Below are 17,498 nucleotides of genomic sequence, written 5' to 3'. Positions count from 1 at the left end.
AGAACATGTTTTGTGTCTTGGCCCTACTGCTCAGTCTCCTAATTGGTTTATTGTTTAAAAACCAGGTCACATTTTGGAATTGCCAAAATGTGACCTGGTCTATTGGCAACACAATAGAAAACCCAGTGACTCATTCACATTAAAAAAGAAGAAAAAATAAGGACATATTTAAACAGGGTTACTAGAGTTTACAGGAAGAGATGTTGCGTCTGAGTTAGCAATGCAGTAAATAACCAGGAAAATAAAACTATTCTCAAGGCTACATTAGACCGTTTTATGGCCGTGCACTGTCTCAAAGGCCCCCATGCTAAGTGGGTGTGTTGAGGCTGGAATCCAAGAGGTGCTTCCCTTGTCAAGTCATGTGATAAGGGAATTGCTTCCATCTCAGAGATACCATTTGTCTCCCCCCAAAAGAATTACTTTGCTAATATTTTTCCCCAAATGAAGCACTTTTAAAATTCACTACATAACTGCCCTACTGGCTAATGACAGTCCTGAATAACCTCACATACTGCAGATTTCTCTCTTTAGAAACATCTTGGGAATGAACTAAGTGATTCTAATGATGCCTCTGTAAAAATGGTTTCCATGAGGTTTAAGTGAAAGAATACAGTCTTTAAAAGTAATTACAATTCTGCGAAGTTTACTTGAGTAGACAGCATTTCATCAACCAGGCAGCGCCAGCCTGCAAGGGTTTCAGGACGGAGCTGAAGGAGGGAGAGGGGGAATACTTTTATAAGGTATTCTCAAAAGCAAGATCATGAAAATACTTAATTAAAGTGAAATGCTAGTCTTAAAGTTTCTAGTTAGGGGTTAGTTGTGGAAGTTTCTGATTGGCTAAGCTTTAGTTTTTCTTTTAGTAGAGACGAGGATTCGCCATGTTGGCCAGGCTGGTCTTGAACTCCTGACCTCAGGTGATCCACCCACCTCAGCCTCCAAAAGTGCTGGGATTACAGGCATGAGCCACCACGCCTGGCCTGGTTAAGCTTTAGTTTTGATTTTGTAGGGTGTGAAGATTTGCACTGAGTTGGATTTTGGTTTGCCTACATAGGAACCTGAGAGGCTGGAGTTGCCTCAGTATATTGGCTTTCAATTAAGCGAAAAACCAAACAAGCAAACAAACAGAAATGTCTTCAATGAATGTCTAGTTTCTTTGTCCATCTCCTATCAGAACGTACCAGATAAAGGCGATTAGTGTTACTATGTGCAGTTTTTGATTTAGTACATGAAGTCAGCACAAAAAAGGACTATTAACACTAATGCTACATGGTAAATATGACTTATTACATATGTTCCTATCCTTTTCCACTAGCATTTTTTTCCGTACAAGGGACGCATATAGGCTTTTTTTTTTTTTTTTTTTTTTACAGAGTCTCACTCTGTCTCCTGGGCTGGAATGCAGTTGAGCAATCTTGGCTCACTACAACCTCTGCCTCCTGGATTCAAGCAATTCTCCTGCGTCAGCCTTCTCAGTAGCTGGGACTACAGGCATGCGCCATCATGCCTAACTTTTTTTTTTTTTTTTTTTTGTATTTTTAGTAGAGAGGAGATTTTACCATGTTGGCCAGGCTGGTCTCGAACTCCTGATCTCAAGGGATCTGCCAGCCTCAGCCTCCCAAAGTGCAGGGATTACAGGTGTGAGACACAGCGCCTGGCCAACATATGTACATTATTAATGAGAATAAAAGTTTGTGTTGAAATTAGTTGAGATGGAGAACTGAATTTAAGAAAAAATAACTTTCACAAATTGTGTTACATTTGTACATAATTTTTAATGTTTTAACATTTATCCATTAAGTCCATAGTGACTTGCTCAGTATGTCTTCTATTTCTAGTGCTGTGTCAGGCATACTTAACAAGTAATTGTGGACTTCATGAATAAGCATAAGCTTTTCCATCTTAATTAATTTGAACATTTAATCTTTTATTGTCATTAAAAGGGTATATATGTCATACGTCCTATGAAAACAATGCTAGTGAAGATATCTTTGTCCTTCCTCTTACTTGCTTTCTTCTAAAGTTATTGTGACTATTTCTTAGTTTACTAACTTATTTTCATTGTGTATTCGGTCTTCGTTTTGAGTGTGTTTTACAAAACATCTCTGAATTAATGAAAATTCCGCATGACTTTTTTCAAAAAATTGCTTTAAAAAGATTTATGTTGTTGTTCCAAGTACTATTTTACACTTAAAAATAGGTAAGAATTAGTTACAATTAGTATTTTTTTGGTTCTATAAAAGTAGGTTATTTTAAAGTGTTTTAAAAATAGTTCTTTTTGATACAAATTATGTGTCCTGAAAATATTTTATTTGTATATTCTTATTTGAAAGACATTTTTTCGTAAACAATAAATACACAAATAAGGCAGAGTATATAATTATTATACTAACAAAATAATTTATTAACTCACGTAGACAGTGAAAAACTTTATAAAGACTGGAATTTCTAAATTATTAATCATAGGCCAAGGATCGGTTTCTCAGAATCACTTGAAGAACTTCTGAAAATATAAGTTTTAATTGCTCCATTGAATTGTTAGATCAAGTTTGAAAATAAGAACCATTAATTTATTCTTTTTTTTTTTTTTTTTTTTTTGATGCGGAGTCTCGCTCTGTCGCCCAGGCTGGAGTGCAGTGGCGCGATCTCCGCTCACTGCAAGCTCTGCCTGCCGGGTTCACTCCATTCCCCTGCCTCAGCCTCCGGCGTAGTGGGGACTACAGGCGCCTGCCACCACGCCCTGCTAATTTTTTTTTTGTTTTTTTTAGTAGAGACGGGGTTTCACAGGTTAGCCAGGATGGTCTCGATCTCCTGACCTCGTGATCTGCCCTCCTCGGCCTCCCAGAGTGCTGGGATTACAGGCGTGAGCCACCGCGCCTGGCCCATTAATTTATTCTTAAGAAATTTCTTCATGTTTGAGAATTGCTCTCTGACTTGTGACAGAAGGGAGCTTAATGGACTTCTAGAGTGACTAATGTGCTTAGCACCTGGTTTGAGTCTTAGTTTCTCTATTATTTTGCTGTACAGACTTCAACAGGTACATAATATTAAGACAATTACTTGTTCATTTATAAAATAAGGAGAGTCCCTGTGTCATAAAAGTAGTGTAGATTGCAACAGATACTCATGGTAAAATTCCTCACATAGTAAGGCATCAATAAATGTTAGTTACATTTAAATATAGCCCCATATACTCCTCTTGCAATGTACCAGAATGGATGGTTCTAGCATTGCCATTTCGACTTCACGAAGATTTAGTTTTAAATAGTTTGTCTTTTTTTTTTCATTTTGCAAATTTGGGCCTCGATTAATGAAATTATTTGCTGTATTATTTTGAATTTAATTTTTAAAATCACTGTGAAAATTTATTTTAATAGTGCTTTAACTTTGCATTCCTGCTTATGCCGTAACAAGCGAATTAGCAAACCTATTGACTGAATTCTGCACAATTGAGAAGGGTGATATCTCCTCCAAGAGATGGTTTTAGTTCCTCCTCTTCTTCCTCCTTCCATTCATACTGTAAGAGTAATTGAGCTTTCAGTAAATGACTAAATTAAATGTTTGTTGTGACATTACACAAAATAAGCATTTCATTTATAATGTATTATTTAAGCTGAAGTAATGAGGTGGGGCATGTAGCTTTCTCTGGGTTGGAGGGATTAGTTACACACGCAAGACATTCAGCAGATCAAGACGAAGATCAAATTTGTTATCTGAGAATTTGATACAAGCTAGATGAGTTCAAGTTGGTGAACAGATAATCTCTGCTGCTGATTGGTAATACATCTCAATGCTTTTTAGTAAGATGCTTTTAGATCATGACAAAATACTTTTCTTCTATGGTAAGAGCACAAAAAAGGAGAAAGGGATAGAATTCAAATTTTTATTCTTCTTCACTGTTAACCATAATTTCGTTGAAATATTTGGCCTTTGAATCTGCTGAATGATAGAGTTTAGCCACAATTAAGGACTTATAAATTGGGTCAAGATGAACAAAATTCTGGGTATCAAATTTCTTTTCTTAGAAACTTGTCTAACACATTCTCATGTAAGCAGTTTTAAGGTCCCAAGTAGCAAGAATTTGAATGTTACATGTGAAAAAATGTAATAGGATTATAAAGCTGAATACACACACACACACACACACACACACACTCGAATAAAACATCATTCCAAGTGTGTTCTTACTGAAGCCATATCATATAGAATCTTGTTCCATTAAAAAACGCATATATTCTTCTATTATGATAAAAAGCTAAAATACTTTTTAAAAAGTAGTATGTTTGTTAATACTTGGATTTACGATGTTGCATGGTGTGTCAATTTTTTTCAAACTGATTGTTAAAACCAGTTTTCTGTTTGATTCCTGAGAGCCCTTTCCAAGTTGGTCAGGGACAGGCTCAGGCATGTCAGAAATCTCAGATATTATATACACAGAAGAATCAGCAATAAATGGCAAATGTCTGTATCTGAATGTTTATTGCTGTGGGTTGAAAAGTAGGTCAAAAATATCCAAATGATTAAAAAAAAAAAGAGAACATATGGGAGTGACTGCCTGTTTTTAAAATATATTCATCTGGGATTGGTTTTAATGATTAAATCTCTTTATGTAAAATATTTTTACAAATAATAGATATTTACTATCTCAAGAGATTTCTGTGCATAAATTAATATTCTATGAAAAAGGCACAACTGCATACCTAACGTGAAGAAATTGAATGTACTAATATGTTGCAAAATAGTCTACTCTGGGGTTTATATTTTATAATTTAAAAATTATTGTAGACAAAATCGAATGAAAATTGAAAGTCTAATTAAAATATAATTTAATTAAAATTTAAATTAAATTTGAATTTATAGAAAAATTAACTTGAAATTATGGTAGAAAAAACATTGTAGAAATCTGGACATTTGGGTTTTGATAATATAACAAATATTATTTTGTTGCATTTCCTTTAGTTGCTTTCCTGATCTCTCTTTTGTCCTACATGTTTGTTAATTATAGTACATATATTTGTGCTTGATTCTCTGAACCCCAAATCATACCCATTTTCCATTTACATTATTTTAATGATTGCATGCTATTGTTAATATATTTTAAATTCGAGTTAATCAAACTGAAGTTAAACTCAATTGTGTCAAAAATTAATTGTGATTTATTTTGCCACAGGTAAAATGACAATAGGAATGAGACATGGTCCAAGGCTAGCCAGACGGGCTTGTTCCTTCATTATTCTTTCTAACAATTGTTCATTTTTATTTGCTCTCAAATAAATGCTGTGTAATGGCTAGAGTTTTAGAAGTGTTTTTATGGTTTAAAGTAAGGAAATTGTAACAGACAAAGAAGCAATCTTTGTTGTACTCATTCTGAAGATAAAAACCAAATCACCAAAAAAAGTATTTGTGAATTAGCCCACCATTCAGTCTTTTATAGACGTAGATTTGAGGTTCTTTTGTTTTTTATGCTGATCGATTCCTGAGCAGTAGTTGGAGCTGAAATGGGAAATTTGAAGACTGGTTTTGCTATTCTTTCTCCTTGTTTTGGGAAATCTTAATTTTGTTCACATGTTCTACAGCTGTTTCTAAAACATTTTCCATTACTAACATCGTTTGTTAAATTTTCTAATGGCTGAATACATGTGTACACACATCAAGAGCTCACTGACTTTTTAAAAAAGAATTGACTATGTATGTTCTCACTCATAGGTGGTAATTGAACAATGAGAACACATGGACACAGGAAGGGGAACATCACACACTGGGGACTGTTGTGGGGTGGGGGGAGGGGGGAGGGTTAGTATTTGGAGATATAGGTAATGCCATAACGAGTTAATGAGTGCAGCACACCAACATGGCACATGTATATATATGCAACAAACCTGCACGTTGTGCACATGTACCCTAAAACTTAAAGTATAATAATAATAAAATTTTAAAAAAAAGATTTTAAATAAACTTTCACTCCTGCTCTTAAAAAAAAAAAAAAGAATTGACTAAATGACAACATAAAGTTTTGTAATTAATCTGAAAATTTTCTTCTAAATAATAAGAATTTCTGGCTGTATTTTACATTTATAATAAAACCGTTTATATACTTAGGAAGAGATTTGAATCAAACTAACCGTCAGCTGGTTCTGATAAGCACATGAGAGTCATGTGCTGGTAAAAGTATAATATTGTCATATTACCATTGCTAAACATTATACTTAAAGTAACTTAAAAACGCTTACTACTTTAGTGTTAGTATTATAAGAATAAATCATTTTAACGCATCAGTGTGTTTGCTTCTACCATTGCTAGCTACAACCTGGTTTCTAGTATAGGAGTCCCACAACTTGGCTCAGGCTATGGGATTATAATTAAAGAGTTAGAGCTTCAAATTCCAACTTAGAATTACTGGACTTGATAAACTCTAATGTCCTATTCAACTTGGCTATTAAGAATATGAAATGGACGAACTCTGGAAATACTTGGCAAAGGTTTACACATGTGTCTACAATCAAAAAGGCATAGAATAGAGTCACTGAAAATAATTTAATTCCTATAGAGCTTAAGAACATCCTTAAGTGAAATTGAATATTACATATGGGAAAATGTTGGCTTTTCTAAACATCATAGAGATTTCACATAAAACACAATTGTCAAAAAGAATCCCAATAGTGAGTTTGAAATTTGATTAGTTTAAAGAGCGTGAACTAGATTTTGTTTTATTCTGGTTTTAAAAAGGGCAGTGTGATGTGGATTCATCTAATTTTTTTTAATTCAAAACTCATTTAGGATAAATGATGATACATGATATATTCCTAATTTACAGATAAGATTTCATTGAAGACTAAAAGCTATTAGACCATGGGGGGGAAAATTCTAGATTTTGGAGGAAAAATAGGGTTCTTCAGCAAGGAGTCATGGTGCCCAATAAAAGAAAAATAAATTTCTTTTATATTTTGTATTTCTAGACTATTATTTATTTCTATTATGATTCTAAGCTATTCATTCAACAAATAATTATGGGATAACAGGAGTTATGAATGAATCCCTATCCTTATACAACTCCTATCCTGGTGGGGAAGAGAGACTTTCTCTAAAAATATAGTGATTCGTGTTCAGAAAGTTACAATGGATTACAATTTATTCAAAGTTCTATGTACTGAATAAAAAAGGGTAAAAATATTGGCCTTATGCCGAATTAATTATTCAGAAAAACTGTTTTCCAAAGATGTTTTTACTATGTTCTATTTCAGAACCTCTGCTTCCTAGAATTTCATGTAATCAGTGCAAGTAATCTGAAGACATCAATGACTCTTAGATACACACTTAGGCAATTAGGGCTGTAAAACACAGCATTCATTTGGAAAACAAATGCATAATAATTCTCTAGGAAAATAGAAACATTTTGATCTATTAAATTGCTTCAAAACTATGATGAGATTAATTGAGAGTCATCGGAGACAAGGTTTGCAATGCAGTAATACTCTATTTTTCTTATATGGCAGGCATTTTACCTTTTATCACTACTCAAGACACATTTTATAGATGAGGAAATGGAAATTCAGAAAGATTTAGTAATTTGATTATAGTCACATAGTCACATAGATAGTCCATGTATCATACAGAAAAAAATCACAAATGACTGTCAAACTTCAAAGTGCCTGTTCTTCATAATCCTGTTAACAAATAGACAAAAACCCTTTATGCCTATACTGATTGTTCTTAAACACCATGTAGTCCATGTTCCCCACCAAGGTTACATATTGACCACCAAAAATATTCAACTAAATCATTAGAATTTGCTTTTGTTCTTGTTATGAGGTGCATAAGGTCTAAAAAGGGGTGTTGAAGGAACCCTTAACTAGGCACTGCTAATCTTCATTTGGACAGTTTTCAACTTTAGAACTGGAAAAAAGATCAGCTTCGAAATTAACAATAAAAATCTGTGGTTTGGTGGCTATTAATATCAATATTTTCTAATAAATGTCAATTTCAAAGTTATAAAAGTAATCAGACTTTTTATATGTTTTAGCTATTACCAGTGAACAAAACATTGACTGATAGTTGCATCGATTCTTATAGTGCTTTTGAATGAAGCGAGTTTGGCTTGCTTACCAATATATTTGTGATGCCCAGTATTTAGTTTATCCCTAAGAAGTGTTTTGTTGTTGTTGTTGTTTGTTTTTTTGTGTTTTTTAAAGAGGAGTAGAAGGAAGGGAGTAGCATCTTAAAAAGTGTAATGGCATTGGAAAAAACACTTAATAAACTGAGTCAAGCATTTTATACAAGTATATGCAGCTGGGTTACACCACAATTCTCTGTAGCAGACTTGCTTTCCTTTTAAAGATGGAGAAAGTGAGCCTTTGAGAGATTAACTGCCCACAGTCACAGCTACCACATGACCTGGTGTTAATTTCATTTCTATCTGACTTCAAAGTACATGATTCTGAAAAACACACCTTTCTCAGCTGTAATAATCATTAAGGTGAATTAATAAGGTATCTTTGAAATTTGACAAGAAAGAAAAATATTGCCTTTTGAAAAACTTATCAAAATTTAATTTGGAATATAAAAGAATGACTTTAAAAGAGCATTATTAAGTGAACATACATGTGTGAGTTAGTTATAATTTCAAAAAAATGATTACATTGATTTGGTTTTTCCAGATGGGGATAAAAAATAGCTATGTTAAAGAAACTGAATTAAAGAGAGCATTTTGAACACTCAACATAGGTCTTGGCAAGAGTTACTGCTATTATTATTAGCTTACTAACACTTTTTAAACATCTATGAGTATGCATAGCTGTACGACCATGAACTAGTTACCCCAGGACTAAAATCAAGATGTCAGAATATGTGCTGGATAATATTTTAGTGTCGTAACGGACATGATTCCTGATTTCTTATGCTGATACATCCAACATTGAGTAAGTATAACTGAGAGGCTATGTGGGCTAATTTCTCATGAAGAAGAAAGTAGAGAAAGAATCACAATTATTAAAGCATCAATTCAGTTCACTGACATCTCGCTGCTTCAGAAAAATTAGAGGGAAAATTCCTGCTCATTAAACTTCAGAGCCACCATAACAAATTCTAATGAGTTGCTTATTAAATTAGCAATTTTCTATAACTGGCATGAGTCGTCAACTTCTCTTTCATTCTCAGTTTTCAGATTAATAACTAAAAGCCCAAATTGCTTGACATGGCTCTTCAATCAAACTTAGTGTTATTAAGAGACCACAGCCACTAAAGTCATTTTACACAAGTGAAGCACAGTATTTCCGGAAACACTGGTTTTCTGCTGTCCATAAAGGTTTTAGAAATATACAAGAATGTATAGCTGCAATGAATGCTATACCATAAATTTGCTTATTCAACATATATAGAGTATATACCAAATAGACTAGAATAGAGTTTCTGCCCTTGTGTAGCTGGCATGAAATATATAAGGCAATATTCAGCAATATGAGGAAAAGATAAAGCAATGTGAGAGTTGGAGAGTGTTGACAGTGACTCCCTAGATTCTCTAGATAGGGAAATCTCTCATATGGTCTGACACATGAGTAGGAATTCTAATAAAAAGACTAAGTCGTGCAAATATGTGGAATACAGACCACCCAGGCAAAGAAGGGAACACACACCCTGAGGCAAAATTGTCCTTGGGATTTACAGGAAGCAACAGGATGTCAGTGTAGACAAGAAGAGTGAGCAAAGGGGTTGACGGTAAGAGATGAAGTCAAGAAAGAGCCAGAGCCACCAGATCACTGCATGTATGAAAGTAAATATTGTGAATTGTGCTTTCATTGTGATAGGAAGCCATGGAATGTTCTGAATAGGGTGATAACATCATGTGATGTATCTTTAAAAGAATATATTAATTGCTCTTACAATGTACTATTGGAAACAAGTTAACAGTCCAGAGGGAAAATAATGGAAACTTGCTTCAGGATGGTAGTAATGGAGGAGGTAAGAATTGTTCAAATAAATCTATCTGTCTGTCTGTCTGTCTATCTATCTATCTATCTATCTATCTATCTATCTATCTATCTATCTACCTACCTAACTACCTACCTGTCTGCCTGTCTATCTATCTTTTTATCTATCTATCTATCTATCTATCTATCTATCTATCTATCTATCTATCTATCTATCTATCTATCTATCTACCTAACTACCTACCTGTCTGCCTGTCTGTCTGTCTATCTATCTATCTATCTATCTATCTATCTATCTATCTATCTATCTATCATTGAAGCCAGCAGAATTTGCTGATATATGAACTGGCATTTGAGAGAAAGTCATCAGTGACCCCAAGGTGTTTGACTTGAGCAACTGAGTAAATAGCGGTGTCCTTTATTAAGATGCAGAACACTGAAGGGAGGGTTGGTTGTGGGGGATTGGGTCAATAATTTTGTTTCCAGACATAAATTTGACTTGCCTTTTAGTTATTCATGTGGAAGTATCATGTATAAATAAGAATATACCAGTGTGGAAGTCTAGAGGGGTGCAGAGCTTTGGCTGGAGGGATGTGTTTCCTATTTAGTCGTAGATATAATCTATACACTATAGTAAAGAGGATTACTTAGAAGGGCTGGATTGGATCACTTAAGAAGAGTGTGTGGATAGAAAGCTGAGCCCTTGAGCATTCTAACAATAAATGTCGGCGCAAGAAAAGTGTCAGTAAAGGAAAAACACAGAGAGAAGAAGCAGGCATTAATGTGGGAGGAAAACCAGGAAAGAGATTTCCAAGTGGAAATCAAGGAGGGCATTTCAACAAATAGAAAGTTGAAAGAAAACTGTCAACTGTGTTATTACTTCCAGCGGGGTGGGCAAAGTGAGCACTGAGCATTTATCCCTGAATTTGAAAATGGCGGGGGATTGTCAGGAACATTTTTGTGGAGTGAGGAAGGCAAGAACCTAATGGGAGAATTTTGAATGAGACTGAAGAAGGTGGAGACAGTGCCAGTGCGTGTAAAAATGTTTGAGCGTGACCTTTAAGAGGAGGACATAATTAGGAAATAGCTGGGGGCAAATGTGGATGAAGGGAGGTTTATTAGTTTGTTCGTTTTAAACATGGGATACTATTTCCACATATTTTTAGGTTGATGAGTGATCAAGAAAAGAGAGAAAAAAGGCTGAAAATGAAAGATGGAAGAAATCTTGCTTGGGTGGGTCAATAGAGGTCACATGTTAGTAGGAAGGAGGCAGGGGGTTTGGTAAGAGGTCAGGAGGTGGCAGACCTGATGCTGGTGAGAGAAAGAAGGTCTCATGATTGTGTCTGCTTTCTCAGTGGGACACAGAACAAGACATTGGGCCGTAAGAAAAGAAGAGAAAGCTGCAGGAATAAGGAGAAGGTTTGGATTAGTAGCAGGATAGTTTGTTGACAAACATAATGCTGTAGAGTTACCAGGCAGCACGGACGGCCTGTGGAATTTATGTTATTAAATTTAAAGTGATTGCTGGTTGTTTTCATTCGTCTACATCCATCTGCTTAGAAGTAGACGGTGAGAAGAGAAGTAATTGAAGCAGGGCTGAGGCTTTATTGTGGATGAATAGAGAAAGAAAACAAAAAGTTGTGAGGGAAGAGAGTTGATTTTAATGGTCCTAATATTCTCACCACTCAGGGGAGAGAGAGGTACTTCTGTCAATAAAAGTATGGTTTATTTTTATAAGTTTTATAAATTTTTCCAAAGTGGTTTATAATGGTAAAAGAGTTCAAAACTTGAAATCCTGTAAAGACTTGACTGTTGAACAATCCCATGCTGCAACTACCTTTAGTAATACATATTTATTGTAATGTTTAATTTCCATTTAGTTTCTCAGAGTGCCCTTTTATTTTGCAACAAGATCCATGTAAGGAATTTTGTTCTGGATAGCTTATGCTTCCATCTTATCCTTCCGCAACACTCCAGTTCCTACTTTCTTTCACTAAAACTTTGTAACTCACTTAATTTAAAATATTTTATTTTAAGTATTTTAATTTAGTAAAGTAAGGGATTAACTTCATAATTATGTGAGCCTCTTTATATTTCTTCTTTCTTTCACCTACCTACTAACCTTCCCCCTTTCCTGCTTCTTGCTAACTATTTTTGGAATTTTTTCAGTCCTCCTTTAATAATGCTTTAATAAGCTTTGTTTTCTATCACCTCCCTTTGTGGTGGCAGTTGGCCTTTGATTACAGAGAAGTGATAGTTGCTTAAGTATTAGCTAATTTTTGTGTGCTTTATCATATTCAATAAAATGTTAACATCCAAAATGTTATGTATTTTGTAGTTGCTTGAACATGAACATATTTCCTAAACATTAATCATTTTATTAAATATATGAATATAGTATTAAATTAAAAGGTTGATTTTTGAATCAACTTTTATTTTAGTTTTGGGGGTACATGTGCTGGTATGTTACATGGGTAAATTGTGTGTCACTGAGGTCTGGTGTATGAATGATTCCATCACCCAGGTAGTGAGCATGTACTCAGCAGGTAGTTTTTCAACCCTCCCCCATCTCCTGCCATCCATCCTCTAGTAGTCCTCAGTGTCCATTATTCCTATCTTTTGTGCATGTGTACTCAATGTTTAGCTCCCATTTATAATAGATAACATGTGGTATTTTATTTTCTGCTCCTGCATCAATTAATTTGATTAAGATAATGGCCTCTAGCTGCATCCATATTGCTGCAAAGGACATGATTTCATGTTTTTCTATGGCTGTGTAGTATCCTATGATGTATATACACCACATTTTCTTAATCCATTCCACTGTTGATGGGCATCCAGGTTGATTTCATGTCTTTATTATTGTCAATTTTGCTGCAGCGAGCGTTCTAGTGCATGTATCTTTTTGGTAGAATGGTTGATTTTCTTTTTGGGTATATGCCCTTAATGGGATTGTTGGATAGAATGGTAGTTCTCTTTTAAGTTCTTCGAGAAATCTCCAATCTGTTTTCCACAGTGGCTGAACAAATTTACATTTCTGCCAACAATGTTATAAAAGTTCCCTTTTCTCTGCAACCTCGCCAACATCTGCTATGTTTTGGCTTTTTAATAATAACGATTTTGACTAGTGTGAGGTGGTATCTCACTGTAGTTTTGATTTGCATTTCTCTAATGATTAGTGGTGTTGAGCATATTTTTATATATTCGTTGGCTGCATGTATGTCTTCTTTAAAGAAGTGCCCGTTCATGTCTTTTGTGGTAATTTTGTTTTTTGCTTGTTGAAATTTTTAGGTTCCTTACGGGTTCTGGATATTAGACCTTTGTTGGATGCACAGTTTGTGAAGATGTATTCCCATTCTGTAGGTTGTATCTTTACTCTCCTGATGGTTGCTTTTGCTGTGCAGAAGCTCTTTAGTCTAATTTGGTCCCACAAATCTGTTTTTGTTTTGCTGCAATTGCTTTTGGAAATGTAGCCATACATTTTTTGCCAAGGTCGATGTCCAGAATGGTATTTTCTAGAATTTCTTCTATAGTTTTTATAGTTTTAGGTCTTAAATTTAGATTTTTGATCTATTTTGAGTACATTTTTGCATATGGTAAAAGGTAGAGATTCAGTTTCAATCTACTGCATATGGTAGTCAGTTATCCCTAGCACCACTTATTGAATATAGAGCCCTTTCCTCATTGCTTGTGATTGTTGACTTGCTGAAGATCATATGGTTGTAGGTATGTGGCTTTATTTCTGGGTTCTCTGACCTATTCCATTGGTCTATGTATCTGAAAAGATTGGTATATATATATGCATATATATATGAGATTTATATATTATATATAAATTCAAATTATATATGTGTATATATGTGTGTGTATATACATATTTATATACCCTCTGTTGTTACTATTCAACACTGTTTTAGTGTCCTTTAATTTAAACCTGGGAGGGATCTTCTTAGCTCTATTTTTGTTTGTATAAATTAAAGCTCAAAGAAGTTAGATGATTTTCATAGTATTGGATTATTTATCCCTATTTAATTTTCTAACTTTTATCATAGTTTATTACCGTATTTTATTTCGTATCTTATATACTTATGGCAGCAGGCTCTGTTGGGGTGAGAATCCACTCTTTCAAAGTTTTCACGATTACCCAGATATTTGATCTACCTTTCTACCCCATAGTGGATGAGGAGACATGTGTTCACACTACTTTCATTTCTAGAAGTGTAATTCAATCTGTCCCTGATTGTGTCTCATTTTCTTCAAATACAAGATCAGCTGTCTGGGTGAATTAGTGTCTACTGGCTTAGTCTTTGTGCACAACATACTTGTGCTGATTTAAAGCTGTGGGCTTCTGAATCTGAAGTTTATCTGGCTATATTTAGAGATTAGGATATAATATGTCATGATTATACCCCCCCACACATATGCTAAATGCAGAAAACATGCAATTTGTATTAAGTTAGCTCAGAAATTAACAATTTTTCTGGAAAAGCATTTTGTCTCATGCTAAATTTCTATAATTTTAAAATTTGGATTGTATTTAGAAATTAGGTGTGTTTTATAGCTTTTATAATGTGATCTTTAATACAATTTATAAATTGTATTTTTTCATTACCCATTTACTCTTTATTTAATATTGTGACTGGTTAAATACAAAAGTTTAACTTGGAGCTAAACTAAAGCAACTTTAGAAACCAGAAAAATCATTGTCCAGCAATCTGAAATATATATTTAAATTTCCTAAGGCCAGCTAATGGGATCAGTATATTAAGAATTATGGTGTAGTTTGTTGAGAGTCTCCAATAATACCTTCACATAAAAGCAAATTTTATTAGGTTATTAGATGCTAAAAATAACCAAACAGTATAATATTTCATTCTTATAGGAAAAGGAACACATCTATATTTTGTTTGACTGCTAGAAAGGCGATTATTTAAATAGTGAGTAGTTATTAAATACGAAGGGATCCTTTTATACCTCATAGCTATTTATTTTAAAAGTTAAATGGCAAAATGTGAAATGTTGGCCTTTTGAAATGAAAATAATTCCTGGAAGCAGACTAAACGTTCAACAAATACCGAAGTGGTTGAAACATATGTTTGAAATGTCTAGCTGTGGGATTCTAACATATAGAGAGGGAGGGCTGACAATAGAGGGAAACAGAAAGCAACCAAGAATTTCAATATTACTGATGAAAAGAACAAATGTTGAGAATTAAGGGAATAGTATTGCTGGACTGTTGTGTTCAATATAAAATATGATTTTTGGAATTGAGGGTTTGAGGATAAAGTTATTTAAGATATTCTGTTATCCAGAGTTTTGGATTTTCAGTGATTGTTTTTTGAGAAGAGGAAGATAATTGGCAATGAGAAGGTGAGGAAATTCTCAAGCATGTTCTAGATAGGTTTATTGGCATGTTTATGGAATTTAATAAACACTATGCCTGAGACAAAGTGAAAGGAAAGACATGAGCTAATTATTGAATTCACAAAAGAACCGATAATCAGCAGAACAAGTTTATACACTTTTTAACTACATGGATTGCACCTTTTGTGTGTGTTAATGATTAGCAAGGGGATTGGTATGCAAATGTATTGTAAGTGAAATAATATATTTTAAAGATAAGCAGTATATTAGATGTATTTCCATGTACCTGGGACTGTTCTGATGTGAATTGTTTCATTTAATCCCCTCAACAATCTAATGAGATAGGTATGATTAGTTTCACATTTGTGCAAATACAGAAACAGGCTCAGAGAGATTTGCCAAGAGTCATTTCTGGCATGTAGTAAAGCCAGAATTTGAATTCAAGCATTGTGACTCTAGGCCACTTTCTCCAAATTCTATAGTGACCTGGCCACACTAAAAACTGAGTGTAATGAGACCACCATTATTATTTTATTTTTAGAATATAATGTTTTGTTATACCAGGGAGATGGGATGGGGGTGTTTTTCTGGATTTTAATCTCTGTTGCTGGCTATAGAATATTGGATAGTTCTCCTAAATCCTGTAGCTCTCTGTTTCCCCATATTTAATGTAAGACTGTGCTAAGCTTACTTTAACTAATATCTATGTTTTTTTTTAACTTTATCAACATAGATTTCCTAATTATTTTTCACTGTCATCACTTGGGAAAACATATTTCGCCTCTTCTTGCCTTCTGGACTTTAAAAGTATATTCCAGGATACATCCCCCTTTTGGCAAACCATCTTTTGCCTGCTTGCCTTCTGGACTTTAAAGGTGTATTCCAGGATACATCCCCCTTTTGGCAAACAGACACTTATGAACGCCACATGTTACTGATGTTAAAGGCAGCATACAATAGGCAAGACAAAATGAGACAATGGGGCTACTCAAAAAAGCAAATTCATAACGCAAAAGAGAAAAGCCAGATAAGCAGAAGAGAGGCTGAATAAATGGAAGGTCATAACGATAAATGTTGAAAATAAAAGGCCATCAAAAAGAACTGTTAGAAATAAGTATTTTTAGAAATAAATTTAAATCTAATGTTCAGTAACATTTTGCCTTATTACAAATGCAAAGCAGCATCCTTTTTGCTCTGCAATTATTTTTCCATGGATGTGTAAGAACAGGCTTTGACATTCTTTAAGCTCAGGGAGGCTAATGCTTTAATAAACAGCTTGTTATCAGTGGGCTTTCGCTCTGCCATGCTTGCAATTCCCAGTCTCACTCAGTCAGGGGAGAATCTTTGCGTTCAGTGTAAACATCTTTTATCCTGATACCGCTTCAATGTGTTAGTCCCTAAAGTTCTCATATTTGGTATTTAATTATTGGTTAATTAAATCACACAGTTTAGAGGAGTTTTAGATTAAAGGCATATTAAATGTCTGATTCACTTTTGAGAACGTGATATAATGTCAACCCATGTATAATGAAAGCGTTAAGCTTTTAGAAAAATGCAATTTTCTACAACCTGAAAAAAAGCAACCGAAATACAACTGTATGAATGAACTGTTTCTACAAAACCAATATTTGTCCCGGGAGCTCTCTGGATATGTAGGGTGAAACAATTCAGGTGACCAATATCTTATAAAATTTCACTGATATGGTAATTGTAGAAGCAATTTGGAAGGTTTTAGCTTTTATTTTTATTTTTTTATCTTGGTTGCACAGATTTGAAGTACTTATGACCCTCAGCTCATTAACTATGTTCTTTATTGATCTAGCAATGCCTTTGTCTTGTTTTATTATATGTTAATCATCATTTCTTGGCCCCCTCCTCATCACTTTTGCTAGTAAATGTGCCAGTGAATTTAATTAATTTGTGCCCTTAGATATGCATGCATCTTTGAAAACTGTATATTGTTGGTTTGTGTGTGTGTGTGTGTGCGTGTGCATGTTTAATTTGTGTAAATGATATTGTGTAATGTAGGTTTTATAGTTCCACACCTTTAGCTTTTAACTATAATCAAACTCTCTAGCCATGTTGCTGTAAGGAAGATAATTAAATCTGACCTGTATATGCAATGCCATCCGGAGGCAACACATTTTACTTATTTAATTTCCTGGTAGTGACACCCCAGTTGCATCCTACTCCATCCTGCCATAATAGATGTTA

General features: G+C 34.2%; 1 protein-coding gene across 4 annotated transcripts in view; it reads left to right on the top strand.

The window, feature by feature from the left end:
* Positions 1-17,498, top strand: part of SGCZ (sarcoglycan zeta) — a 1,153,587-nt gene that overhangs the window by 525,467 nt on the left and 610,622 nt on the right. The gene's annotated exons all lie outside the window — the stretch shown is intronic.

This window comes from Homo sapiens, chromosome 8, assembly GCF_000001405.40.
Source record: "Homo sapiens chromosome 8, GRCh38.p14 Primary Assembly".
In the NCBI taxonomy this organism is placed as follows: Eukaryota; Metazoa; Chordata; class Mammalia; order Primates; family Hominidae; genus Homo; species Homo sapiens.
Note: the sequence above shows the minus strand (reverse complement) of the source record. Positions and strands in the feature narration are given on the sequence as shown.